Raw genomic sequence first — 13,121 nt, 5'->3', positions numbered from 1 at the left:
GACAATGGCCAGGCATGGTGGCTCATGCCTGTAATCCCAGCACTTTGGGAGCTGAGGTGGGTGGATTACAAGGTCAGCAGTTCGAGACCAGCTTGGCCAATATGGTGAAACTCCGTCTCTACTAAAATACAAAAATTAGCCGGGCGTGGTGGTGCGCACTTGTAGTCCCAGCTACTCCTTCTGAGGCAGGAGAATCGCTTGAACCCAGGAGGCAGAGGTTGCAGTGAGCTGAGATCACGCCACTGCACTCCAGCCTGGGCAACAGAGGGAAACTCCATCTCAAAATAAATAAATAAAATAATAATAATGCAGGACAATTATGTATAGCAAACACTTTCAAAATTTAAACTCCTTCAACATTTAATTCTTCAGCATTATGTATACTTTTAATTGCACATCTGCCCCCGACCCTGACACCAACTAGAATGTAAGTTCCATTTTGTCTATTTAATTTGCTGATGTGTTCCCAAGACTAGAACAGAGCCTGGGGCATAGCAGGATCATGAGGGTCAAACAAGATAATGCCTGTATGTAGCCTGTGGTGGGCAGCACCTGGTACAGAGCTCATGATGAACCATTATCCTCTTCCTCTTACATGTCCACCAACAGGAGAATAGAAATTATGATATATAATATTGTAAATTGGCCAGGTGCAATGGCTCATGCCTGTAATCCCAACACTTTGAGAAGCTGAGGCAGGAGGATTGCTTGAGCACAGGAGTTTGAGACCAGCCTGGGCAACATGGTGAAACCCCCTACCTCTACAAAAAATAAAAAAAATTAGCCAGGTCTGGTGGCACGCGCCAGCCTGAAGTGGGAGGATCAACTGAACCCGGGAAGTCGAGGCTGCAGTGATCTGTGATCATGCCACTGCATTCCAGCCTGGGTGACAGAGTGAGATTCTCTCTCAAAAAAAAAAAAAAAAAAAAAAAAAGAAAGAAAACAAATTCAAGTAAAACAATTAAATTATAAATCATTAAAATTATAATTACAAAGAATATGCAGCAGTATGGAACAGTTTATAACTAATGTTAAGTGAAAAAAAGCAGACTACAAATTTGTCCATGATTACAACTGGGTAAAAATAATTTAAGATCTATGCAAAAATAAGGAGACAAGATGATGGGCTCATGGTGAACAGCTGTGAAGCAGGGATGAAAATTAATGTGCCCAGAAGCAGATTCTCTTTGAAGCATCTTTTTTCATACTACCTGATAAGTGTCTTGCTACATGGCAGTAGCAGCAGTAAGACGGGTGATATCAAAGAGAACTATCTGGAAACATTTATCTTCAATCCAAAATGGAGCCTTATGTTTGTCATAAATCTACGTACTCTTCTTTTCCAGGTGACTACAATTGCAAAGTAGAATTTGCTTTGACACCTGATGCCAGGACAATAGTATGTTACCATCCTTCTATAGACATTCCATATGAACGCACAAAACCTATCCCTTGACCAGATCCTGTGTATAATAATGAAGAAACACATGGTCAAGTGCTGAAAACTAGAGAAGAAAAAAGTGAACACCTTGAGCGAGAACCCATAATAGAACAACTTAGCAAAATGTTCTTTATGCTAAGTACGGTTGGCATCTTCGTGGACATTAGCACAGATGTCAGAAGAAACCGGAACCTCCAGAAGACAGATGATATTGAGGTTCTTGGGGAATTAAAGAGAAATATTACCCTCTGCCTCATTTGCCATTGGAGACAGTGCAATCTGGTGTATGCACTAATAATAATAATAACATGTCTTTTCATATTTAAAAAAAAAACACAAAATCTTTAGGAAGCCGAGGTGGGTGGATCGCTTGAGTCAGGAGTTTGAGAGCAGCCTGAGCAACATAGACCCCATCTCTAAAAAAAATTAGCCAAGTGTGGTGATGTGTGTCTGTGGTGCCAGCTACTTGGAAGGCTGAGGTAGGAGGATTGCTTGAGCTCAGGAGGTTGAGGCTGCAGAGAGTGGTGATCATGCCTCTGCATTCCAGCCTTGGTGACAGAGCAAGACCCTGTCTCAAACAACAACAACAACAAAAATCAAAATCTATGCAAAATTTAAACCCAATCTTGCGCTAGTCTTGTGGGAATGAAGATTAATTTACCTAAAAATGCTCCTCTGGTTTTTGTAATTCTTTTTGTTACTTTTTAAAAATATAAATTTGGCCAGGCACGGTGGCTCACACCTGTAATATCAGCTACTCGGGAAGCTGAGGCAGGAGAATCGCTTGAACCTGGGAGGCGGAGGTTGCAGTGAGCCGAGGTCCCGCCACTGCACTCCAGCCTGGGTGACAGAGTGAGACTCTGTCTCAAAAAAAAAATAAAAAAAAAGAAATATAAATTTAAGGGGTATAGGTGAAGTTTTGTTACATAGATATATTACACAGTGTTGAAGTCTGGGCTTTTAGTGTAACCATCATCTAAATAATGCACATTGTACCCCCTGATTTCCTATCCTTCACCCACCTCCCACCCTCCTACCCTCCCAAGTCTCCAGTGTCTACTATTCCACACTCTGTGTTCATGTGTACACATTTAGCTCCCACTTATAAATGAGAACATGCAGTAAAAAATATGGAACACTTCACAAATTTGCATGTCATCTGTATCAGTCCACTTTGCATTGCTCTAAAGGAATATCTGGCCAGGTGCGGTGGCCCATGCCTGTAAACCCAGCACTTTTGAAGGCTGAGATGGGTGGATTGCTTGAGCTCAGGAGTTCAAGACCAGCCTGGGCAACATGGCAAAACCCTGTTTCTACAAAAAATACAAAAATTAGCCGGGTGGTGGCGCACGCCTATAATCCCAGCTACCCAGGAAGCTAACTAAGGTGGGAGTATCACTTGAGCCCGGGAGTCAGTTCCAAGATTGTGCCACTGCACTCCAGCCTGGGTGACAGAGTGAGATCCTGTCTCAAAAAAAAAAAAAAGGAATACCTGAGACTGGGTAATTTATAAAGAAAAGTGGTTTATTTGGCTTACGGTTCTACAGGCTGTATGAGAAGCATGGCACCAGCATCTGCTGCTGGTGAGGCCTCAGGAAGCTTACAATCATGGTGGAAGGCAAAGCGGACCTAGTGTGTCACATGGCAAGAGAGGGACCAAGCAAGAGAGAGAGAGAGGAGGTGCCAGGCTCTTTTAAACAACCAGAGAGAGAGAGAGAGGGAGAGAGAGAGAAAAAGAGAGAGGAGGTGCCAGGCTCTTTTAAACAACCAGATCTCACGTGAACTCAGAGTGAGAGCTCACTCACTACCATAAGGACAGTACCAAGCCATTCATGAGGCATCTGCTCCCATGACCCAAACATCTCCCATTAGGCCCACCTCCAACATTGGAGGTCACTTTTTTTTTTTTTTTTTTTGAGATGTAGTTTCGCTCGTTGCCCAGGCTGGAGTGCAATGGCACAATCTTGGCTCACTGCGACCTCTACCTCCCAGGTTCAAGTAGTTCTCCTGCCTCAGCCTCCCAAGTAGCTGGGATTACAGGCATGTGCCACCACGCCTGGCTCACTTTTTGTATTTTTAGTAGAGATGGGGTTTCACCATGTTGGCCAGGCTGGTCTCGAACTCCTGACCTCAGGTGATCCACCCACCTTGGTCTCCCAAAACGCTGGGATTGCAGGTGTGAGCCATCACGCCCGGCCTGAGGTCACATTTTAACACGAGATTTGGAAGGGACAAAGCATCCCAACCGGCTGGGCGCAGTGGCTCACACCTGTAATCCCAGCACTTTGGGAGGCCGAGGCAGGCAGATCACAAGGTCAGGAGATCGAGACCATCCTGGCTAACACACTGAAACCCCGTCTCTACTAAAAACACAAAAAATTAGCCAGGCGCAGTGGCGGGTGCCTGTAGTCCCAGCTACTCAGGAGGCTGAGGCAGAAGAATGGTGTGAACCCGGGAGGCGGAGTTTGCAGTGAGCCGAGATCGCGCCACTGCACTCCAGCCTGGGCGATAGAGCGAGACTCCGTCTCAAAAAAAAAAAAAAAAAAAACCATCCAAACCATCTGATCATCCTTGCGCAGGGGCCATGCTAATCTCTGTATGTTCCAATTTTAGTATATGCACTGCGGGAAGAGAGTACTCACTTTTTATTTTGATACAATTTCAAACTTACAGAAAAGTTGAATGTACAAGGAATTTCCAAATACCTTTTCCCCAGATTCACTGACGTTACCACATTATGTGCATGTGCTTGCTCTCTCTCCCTCTGCTTTTTCTCTCTGCATATAAACGCATTTCCTAAGAATAAACACATAACCAACCAAAGAATAGAGTTTCTATTATTTGTACTATTTTCACAAATAAAAAGACTGAGGAAAGGTGTGCTCTTTTCCTGTGATCCTGGGCCACAATTTCACCAGGTTCAGGATGCAAGGCCCTTTTCTGTATTCTTCGGACCTCTGTCATCTGAAAACACCGGCAAACCACCACTCCAGTGATGCTGCCATGTGTTAAGCTTCCCCTTAAGACCCCTGGCAGAGAGTAGCATATTGTGCACCAAGGTTGTGTGGGAAAAGGGGCTGAGATGAAGCCACCCCTGCAGAGCGGCAGCTTCTAGTGTACGTGTGGGTCCACAGAGGTTTCTGTGACCCTGGAAGCCTGTCCAGCTGAGCTGACCTTCACCAGGGAAGAGAATCTCCAGACAAAGGCACTTAGCTGCCTACTGGGTCCCCACCGAAAGACTGCTGAAAATATTTCTTCAGAATGCTGAGCGCTGAATACCACTCAGCACGTGCTGGAGCCAGAGGTGGTTAGACACGAGTCTGTCCTTGGAAATCCCAGGCTCAGAGCCACCATTATGCAAAGAGGACTGTTGAGGGGTTTTCTTTTACTTTTCTTTTCTTCTCTTTTTTTTAATAGTTTTTTGAGAAATGGGATCTGTGCTAAGGGCTTTGGGCAGGCCAGCTAGGAGGACGGAAGAAGTTTCCCATTCGCTTGTGGACAAGGCCTGCACCCATATAATCAACTCCAACCCACCTCCGTCATCACCAGGGTAACATCCCTGCCCAATCTCTCCTCAGGCCTTCTGCATTACCAGACCTGGTGTCTTCCCCTCCCTGGATTTGAGGGCCCTGGACTCTTTGCAGCCTCTACCTCATGCCCAACCAGGACAAGCCTTGAGCACAGGCAAAACAGATTCCACAGTCTGCATCCCATGGCAAAGAATTTCATGTCATTCCCTCCTCCACTCCTCCCTTGGTCTGGCCTTGCCTTGAGACCCAGTCCTGGCTCCACGCAAGCTCCAGGGTTAATGATGGCCTTGCCTCTGCTACTCTTCCCTTCACTCTCAGACTCCCCCACCCCCTGGGCTGTTACTTCTTAACTTTTTGATTTAGAGAAGTTAGTCTCTCTGGGCCTGTTTCCTCATCTGAAAAAATGAGATAATGACATTTACCTTAGAGGGTGGTGGTGAGGGAGAAAGAAGACCAAGTGTGTGAACGTACATGACTGACCGTGCAAGTGTTAGCCAAATCCGAATCTTCCCCATGAGAGCGGCCAGAGCTTCGCCTCTCTCAGTTTACACTTTAGAAGTGCCCTGTGCTGAAGGTTGTAAACTGCTCAGTCAGTATCGACCGCTGAGGCTGATTTCTGTTGAAAAGATTATTGCCCATTTTTATCTATCAAATTGACAAAATTACTGAAGATAGGCCACAGGGAGTAGGGGAAAGGGCCTTCTTGTACACTAGTAGTAGCGGAATGAATGGGTACAATCTTGATACCTGGTATCTTAGTCTGTTTTCTGTTGCTTATAACAGAATATCTAAAACTGAGCAATTTATAAAGAAAAGAAGTGTATTTCTTACTCTTATGGAGGCTGAGAAGTCCAAGGTCAAGGGGCTGTATCTGGTGAGAGCCTTCTTGCTGGTGGGAACTCTCTTCAGCGTCCCAAGGCAGAGCACAGCACCACATGGTGAGGGGGCTGAACGTGCTAATGTGCTAGCTCAGGTCTCTCTTCCTCTTCTTATAAAGCCACCAGCTCCCCTCCCACAGTAACCCATTAATCCACGAATTTATGAATGAAAGAACCCATCTGTGAGAAAGCAGAGCCCTCATTATCCAATCACCTCTTAAAGACCCCACTTCCCAATACTGCCACACTGGGAATTAAGTTTCAACAAGAGTTTTGGAGGGTACAAATATTCAAACCATAGCACCTATGTACAACAATTAAGAACATTCGGTGGGGTGCGGTGGCTCTCGCCTGTAATCCCAGCACCTTGGGAGGCCGAGGCAGGTGGATCGCTTGAGATCAGGAGTTCGAGATCAGCCTGGGCAACATGGTGAAACCCTATCTCTACTAAAAATACAAAAATTAGATAGGCATGGTGGCCCACATCTGTAGTCCCAGCTACTCGGAAGGCTGAGGCAGGAGAAATGCTTGAACCCGGGAGGCAGAGGTTGCAGTGAGCTGAGATCGTGCCACTGCACTCTAGCCTAGGTGACAGAGTGAGACAGTGTTACAAAAAAAAAAAGCAGTTCGAGACCAGCCTAGGCAACACAGTGAAAGCCTGTCTCTACTAAAAATACAAAAATCGGCCCAGCATGGTGGCCTGCACCTATAATCCCAGCTACTTGGAAGGCTGAGACGGGAGGATCATTTGAACCTGGGAGGCAGAGGTTGCAGTGAGCTGAGATCACATAACTGTACTCCTGTATCGGTGTACTGCTGCTCTGGCAAGACCCTGTCTCAAAAAAGAAAGTAAAATAAAAAATTCAGTATATTTACTTTATTATTATTATTTTTATGAGTCAGAGTCTCGCTTTATCACCCAGGCTGGAGTGCAGTGACGCTCACTGCAACCTCCACCTCCCAGGTTCAAGCGATTCTCCTGCCTCAGCATCCTGAGAAGCCAAGACTACAGGCACATGCCACCATGCCCAGCTAATTTTTGTATCTTTAGTAGAGATGGGTTTTTGCCATGTTAGCCAGGCTGGTCTTGAACTCCTGACCTTAGGTGATCTGCCCGCCTCGGCCTCCGAAAATGCTGGGATTACAGGTGTGAGCCACTGCGCCCAGCCAGCACATTTGTTCTAATTAAGCAGTTTCCCTTATAGGAGTCTATTAGAAATATTTACAAATGTGTACAAGGTCATATGACAAAGGCATTCACTGCAGCATTACTTGTAATGGAAAAGTATATGGAGACAATCTGAATGTCTAAAATTAGTTAAATTCTGGAGTTGTGAAACTGCCTTGCTATGGACTACCATGTGACTGTCAATAATAATGATGGAGATCATTATGTACTGATGTGGAAAGATTTTATGCTTTTAAGAAAAAACAGCAAGTTACAGTATTATTTTCAGTTATATAAAACAGTACCTGGCATACAGTAGCTAATCAATAAATATTTATTGAGCTGAAAGAGCATGAGCCCAGCCTGTTAAAAACAAATGACCCCCCAACACACACTTACAAACAAGCCCACATATTTTCATGAAAAAAAATGTTCTGGAAGGACAGTAACCACTGTCAATTGTGTTTATCCCTAGTGCATGAGCAGCTTTAACTTTCTCTGGCTCTGGTCTACACAGCCCACATTGTGTGAGGTGAGGCCGCAGTGGGCCCACACAGGCACCAGGCAGTTCACAGGTGTTGTTGCAGAGGTCTTTCGTCTGCACTCTCAGTGGGAAAGAACAGTAAAGCCCAACCACCCCAGCCACCATCCACGGTGACTTGCAGGTCATGGAGAGAAAAAAAAAAAAGGCCAAGGACAAAGATATGTAATTATTGACACTATTTTATTTATACCTAAGGAGAGACACCAAAGTATGAGCATCCAAGGGCCAGGGCATTGGGTGGACCAGACATTATGGGTGGGTGGCTTCTAAGGCTTGGAGAACCCAGGCCAGAGGCCACCCAGTATTCCCTGAGCACCTGTGGCTGAATCCTGAATGTCCTGGGTCTCTGCACTCAAAGCTTAAGGGAGAAACAAGGGGTGTCAGGCAGGGTCAGCTCTGAGGAGCAGGCGAGGTCCCAGTGGCCTGCCAGGGTGAGGTCAAAGGAGCTGAGGTCTGGGTAAGAGGACACTTCAGGTCAGTTACAGTGGCCTGAGAAGGACTGGTAGGCCTCCCTGAGGTCTTGGAAATAAGTCTAAAAGAGTGTGGCTTTAGAATATTTAGAAGGACTTTTTCAGAATTTAGGAGACATAACATAGTTTGGGGAGACTTTAGAGGAAGAGTGCTCAGCCATACATGGTGGCTCATGCCTGTAATCCCACCACTTTGGGAGGCTGAGGCGGGCGGATTACCTAAGGTCAGGAGTTTGAGACTAGCCTGGCCAACATAGTGAAACCCTGTCTCTACTAAAAATACAAAAATTGGCCGGGCGCAGTGGCTCACGCCTGTAATCCCACCAATTTGGGAGTCGAAGGTAAGTGGATCACGAGGTCAGGAGTTCGAGACCAGCCCGGCCAAGATGGTAAAACCCCATCTCAACTAAAAATACAACAAAATTAGCCAAGCACAGTGGCAGGCGCCTGTAATCCGAGCTACTCTGGAGGCTGAGGCAGAATTGCTTGAACCCGGGTGGCAGAGGTTGCGGTGAGTTGAGATTGTGCCACTGCACTCCAGCCTGGGCGACAGAGTGAGACTCCATCTCAAAAAAAAAAAAGAACAGCTTGGCTGGGCATGGTGACTCATGCCTGTAATCCCAGCACTTTGGGAAGCTGAGTGAGGGGAATGCTTGAGCCCCAGGAGTTGGGAGACCAGCCTGGGCAACATAGCGAGACTCTGCCTCTACAAAAAATTAAAAAATTAGCTGGGCATAGTGGCATAGGCCTGTAATCATAGCTACACAGGAGGCTGAGGCAGGAGGATTGCTTGACCCCAGGAGGTCGAGGCTGTAGAAAACCTGAGCAACAGAACAAGACCCAGTCTCCAAAAAAAAAAAAAAAAAAAAAAAAAAAAAGAAAGAAAAAGAACAGCTTGATGAATTTTTCCAAAGGTATACACACATGTAACCACCACCCCAATGAAGACAGAGCCTTTCCATCATTCCAGAAAGTTCTCTCATGCCTCTTTGCAGCCAATTGCCCCAACCCCCATAAGCCCCAGGCAACCACTGATCTGCTGTCCCTATAGCTTAGTTTTGTCCATTCTAGAATTTTACATAAATCCAGTTATACAGTACATACTCTTTTGTGTCTGGCTTCTTTCACTCAACATAATATTTTTAAGATTATGCATGTTGTGGCTGGGCGCGGTGGCTCAGGCCTGTAATCCCAGCACTTTGGGGAGGCCGAGGTGGGCGGATCACGAGGTCAGGAGATCGAGATCATCCTGGCTAACACGGTGAAACCCCGTCTCTACTAAAAATACAAAAAATTAGCTGGGCGTGGTGGCGGGTGCCTATAGTCCCAGCTACTCGGGAGGCTGAGGCAGGAGAATGGCGTCAACCTGGGAGGCTGGAGCTTGCAGAGCCGAGATCGCGCCATCGCACTCCAGCCTGGGCGACAGAGCCAGACTCCCGTCTCAAAAAAAAAAAAAAAAAAAAAAAAAAAAGATTATGCATGTTGTGTGTATCAATAATTTGTTCTTCTTTTAAATTACTGACTTGTCTTTAATTGTTCTGGATATACCACAATTTACTTATCCATTCTCCCGTCAACTGATATTTGTGTCCAGTTTTTGGCTACTGTGAATAAAACAGCTATGAACATTCATGTACAGCTGTTCTGTGAATATACATTTTCTTTTATCTTGGGTAAATACCACAAAATGGAACTACTGTTATGTCTGTTAGTTTTATTTTTAAAAACTGCCAATATGTTTTCTAAAGTGGTTGTCCCATTTAACACTCCCACCAGCAATGAATGAGAGTTCTAATTGTTCCATGTGTTCATCAGGACTTGGTAGTATCAGTCTTTAATTTTAGCCATTCTGGTGGGTGTGTATTTCACTGTGGCTTTAATTTGCATTTCTCAGTTGGCTATTGATATTGAGCATATTTTCATTTGTTTATTGACCCTTTTTATATCCTATTTAATAAACTATCTTTTACCTATTTACTTTTATAATTCAAAAAATTTGTTCAACACAATTTTACTGAAGTAGTTGAGGTAATTATGGTTATTTCCTTTTTACAGGTAAGGAAAATAAATCCAGAGAGACTTATCCACCTTTTCCTTTTTTTTTTTTTTTTTTGAGATGGAGTTTCGCTCTTGTTGCCCAGGCTAGAGTGCAATGGCGGGATTTTGGCTCACCACAACCTCCGCCTCCCAGGTTCAGGCAATTCTCCTGCCTCAGCCTCCTGAGTAGCTAGGATTACAGGCATGCGCCACTATGCCTGGCTAATTTTGTATTTTTAGTGGAGACGGGGTTTCTCCATGTTGGTCAGCCTGGTCTTGAACTTCTGACCTCAGGTGATCCACCCACCTCAGCCTCCCAAAGTGCTGGGATTACAGGCATGAGCCACCGCGCCCAGCGCTTATCCACCTTTTCTTGTAACAGATAACCAGCAGCTGGCCAGGTACAGTGGCTCACTCTTGTAATCCCAGCACTTTGGGAGGCTGAGGTGGGTGGATCACTTAGTAGAGATGAGGTTTCACTATGTTGGCCAGGCTAGTCTCAAACTCCTGACCTTAGGTAAGTTCAGGAGTTGAAGACCAGCCTGACTAACATGGCGAAAACACACTCTCTACTAAAAATACAAAAATTAGCCAGGCGTGGTGGCATACTCCTATAATCCCCACTACTCGGGAGGTTGAGGCGGGAGAATCGCTTGAACCCTGGAGACCGAAGTTGCAGTGAGTGAGACTGCGCCACTGCCCTTCAGTCTGGGCAACAAGAGCGAAATAGTTTCAAAAAAAAAAAAAAAAAAGAAAGGAAAACCAGAAACCTGTGGCAGCACCTCTGAGTTATGCTGAGCAACTGTCCGTACTGCAAAGGTAGGGACTGTCCTCCTCAGGCTTTGCTGAGTGACATCTACATGCTTAATGGGCTTTACTCAAGTTACCCAAGTGTTTGAGAATAAACTAGAACCATCTGATATTTAAGCTCCCTGCCCAGTAACATTTAAAAAGCAGATGTACACCTAAATTAAAGGAAAGACGTTCTATGTTCATTGATCAGAAGACTTAACATGGTTAAGATGCCAGTTTTCCCCAAAATGATCTACAGATTCATTGCAATCTACAGCAAAATCACAGCTGGATTTTTTGGTAGAAATTGACAAGCTGATTCTAAAATTCATATAGAAATTCCAGGAATCCAGAATAGCCAAAACAGTCTTGAAAAAGAAGAACAAAGTTGGAGGGCTCACACTTCCTAATTTCAAAACTTCCTATAAAACCGTGGTAATCAAGACAGTGTGGTACTGCCATAAGGATAGACATAAAGCAATAGAATAGAATTGTGAGTCCAGAAGTATACCCTTTCATTTATGATTAATTGATTTTCAACAAGAGTGTCAAGACAATTGAATGGAGAAAAAAATAGTATTTTTAACAAATGGTGTTGGGACAACTGGATATACAACTGCAAAGGAATGAAATTGGACCCCTATCTGACACCCTACATGCCACATATTTCTTTTTTTCTCTTTTTTTAAATAATCTGCATTACTTTGGAGAAACCATATATTTCTTAGAAGAAATATAGGAAGAAAATATAGGAATAATATTTGTGACCTTGGTATGGGCCAAAGCACAAGTGACAAAAGAAAAAAATAGATAAACTGGACTTTATCACAATTATAAATTTTGGTGCTTCAAAGAACACCAATAGGAAGGTGAAAAGACAATTCACAGAATGGCATAAAATATCTGCAAATCAGATATCTGATAAGGGACTGCTGTCTAGAATTTATGAAGAACTTTAACAACTCAATCATAAAATGACAAATAACCCAATTAAACAATGGGCAAAGGATCTGAATAGACATAGCTCCAAAGAAGATACAGAAATGGCCACTAGCCATCATGGAAAGGCAAATCAAAACTACAATGAGATACCACTTAACACTCATTAGGATGGCTATTATCAAAAAGATAGACAATAACAAGAGTCTGCGAGGATGTAGAGAAACTGGAACCCTCATACATTGTTAGTGGGAACGTACAGTGGTGCATCCACTTTGGAAAACAGTCATATGATGCAGCAATTTCACTCCTAGGTATATCCCACACAAAAACGTGTATATGAATATTCATAGCAGCATTATTCATAGTAGCCCAAAGTGGAAATAACCCAAATATCCATCCATTGATGGATGGATAAATAAAATTCCATACAATGGAATATTATTTGGCACTACAAAGGAATGAAGTACTGATACATGCTACAACGTGGATGAACCTTGAAAACGTTATGCCAAGTGAGAAAAGTGTCACAAAAGACACGCGTTGTATAATCCCATCTATATGCAATGTCTAGAATATGCAAATATATAGGGGAAATGAGGAGTGACTGCTAATGGATATAGGGTTTCTTTTTCGGGGGTGATGAAAATACAGTTGACTCTTGAACAACACAGGTTTGAACTGCACTGGTCCACTGATAGACAAAGTTTCTTCTGACTGTGCCACCCCAAGACAGCAAGACCAACCCGTTTTCCTCCTCCTCCTCAGCCTACTCGACGCGAAGATGACAAGGATGAAGATCTTTATGATGATCCACTTCCACTTAATGAATAGTAAACATAGTTTTTTCTTTCTTATGAGTTTCCTGATAGCATTCCTTTTCTCTAGCTTACTTTATTGTAAGAGTATAATACATATAGCAGACAAAATATGCGTTAATCAACTGTTTATGTTATCACTAAGGCTTCAGGTAAACAGAAGGCTATTAGTAGTTAAGCTCTGGGGGAGTCAAAAGTTATACATGGATTTTTAGCTGCAGGGAGGCTGGCACCCCTAACCTCCACGTTGTTCAAGATTCAATTATATTCTAAAATTTATTCTGGTGATGTTGCAGAATTCTGTGAATATACTAAAAAATACTGAATTTTACACTTTAAACAATTTCATGAATTATGAAAAAGATTGTGCAAATGTCCACTTTTATAAACCATTGAAAATTTTCTTAATTGGAAAATGATTTTATAAATAAAGTTGCATTATTGCTTTGTAGACGAAGTACTTTTATTATAAGCCTACAGAGCAGAATGCAAAATGATGCCATT

General features: G+C 43.7%; 1 protein-coding gene and 2 pseudogenes across 6 annotated transcripts in view; 2 read left to right on the top strand and 1 right to left on the bottom strand.

Moving 5' to 3' along the window:
- CCDC32 (coiled-coil domain containing 32) overlaps window positions 1–12,656 on the top strand; it is a 44,050-nt gene extending 31,394 nt beyond the window's left edge. For 4 of the 5 annotated variants that reach the window (NM_001382440.1, NM_001382441.1, NM_001382438.1 and 1 more), the window contains one exon: window positions 1,347–2,584. In NM_001382440.1, the coding sequence (NP_001369369.1) occupies window positions 1,347–1,350 (4 nt within the window). In that variant the 3' untranslated portion in view covers window positions 1,351–2,584. Of the gene's footprint in view, window positions 1–1,346; window positions 2,585–12,473 lie in introns of those variants that run through there. The other variant, NM_001382439.1, reaches the window with a different exon arrangement.
- Window positions 1,099–1,765, top strand: MRPL42P5 (mitochondrial ribosomal protein L42 pseudogene 5; annotated as a pseudogene). Its single transcript, NR_002208.1, has one exon. The product of NR_002208.1 is annotated as a mitochondrial ribosomal protein L42 pseudogene 5 (transcript).
- Window positions 4,007–4,079, bottom strand: RNU6-516P (RNA, U6 small nuclear 516, pseudogene; annotated as a pseudogene).
- Window positions 12,657–13,121: the final 465 nt, after the last annotated feature.

Source organism: Homo sapiens, chromosome 15, assembly GCF_000001405.40.
Source record: "Homo sapiens chromosome 15, GRCh38.p14 Primary Assembly".
NCBI classification, from domain to species: Eukaryota; Metazoa; Chordata; class Mammalia; order Primates; family Hominidae; genus Homo; species Homo sapiens.
The sequence above is the reverse complement of the archived record's forward strand: the minus strand, read 5'-3'. Positions and strand labels throughout refer to the sequence as shown.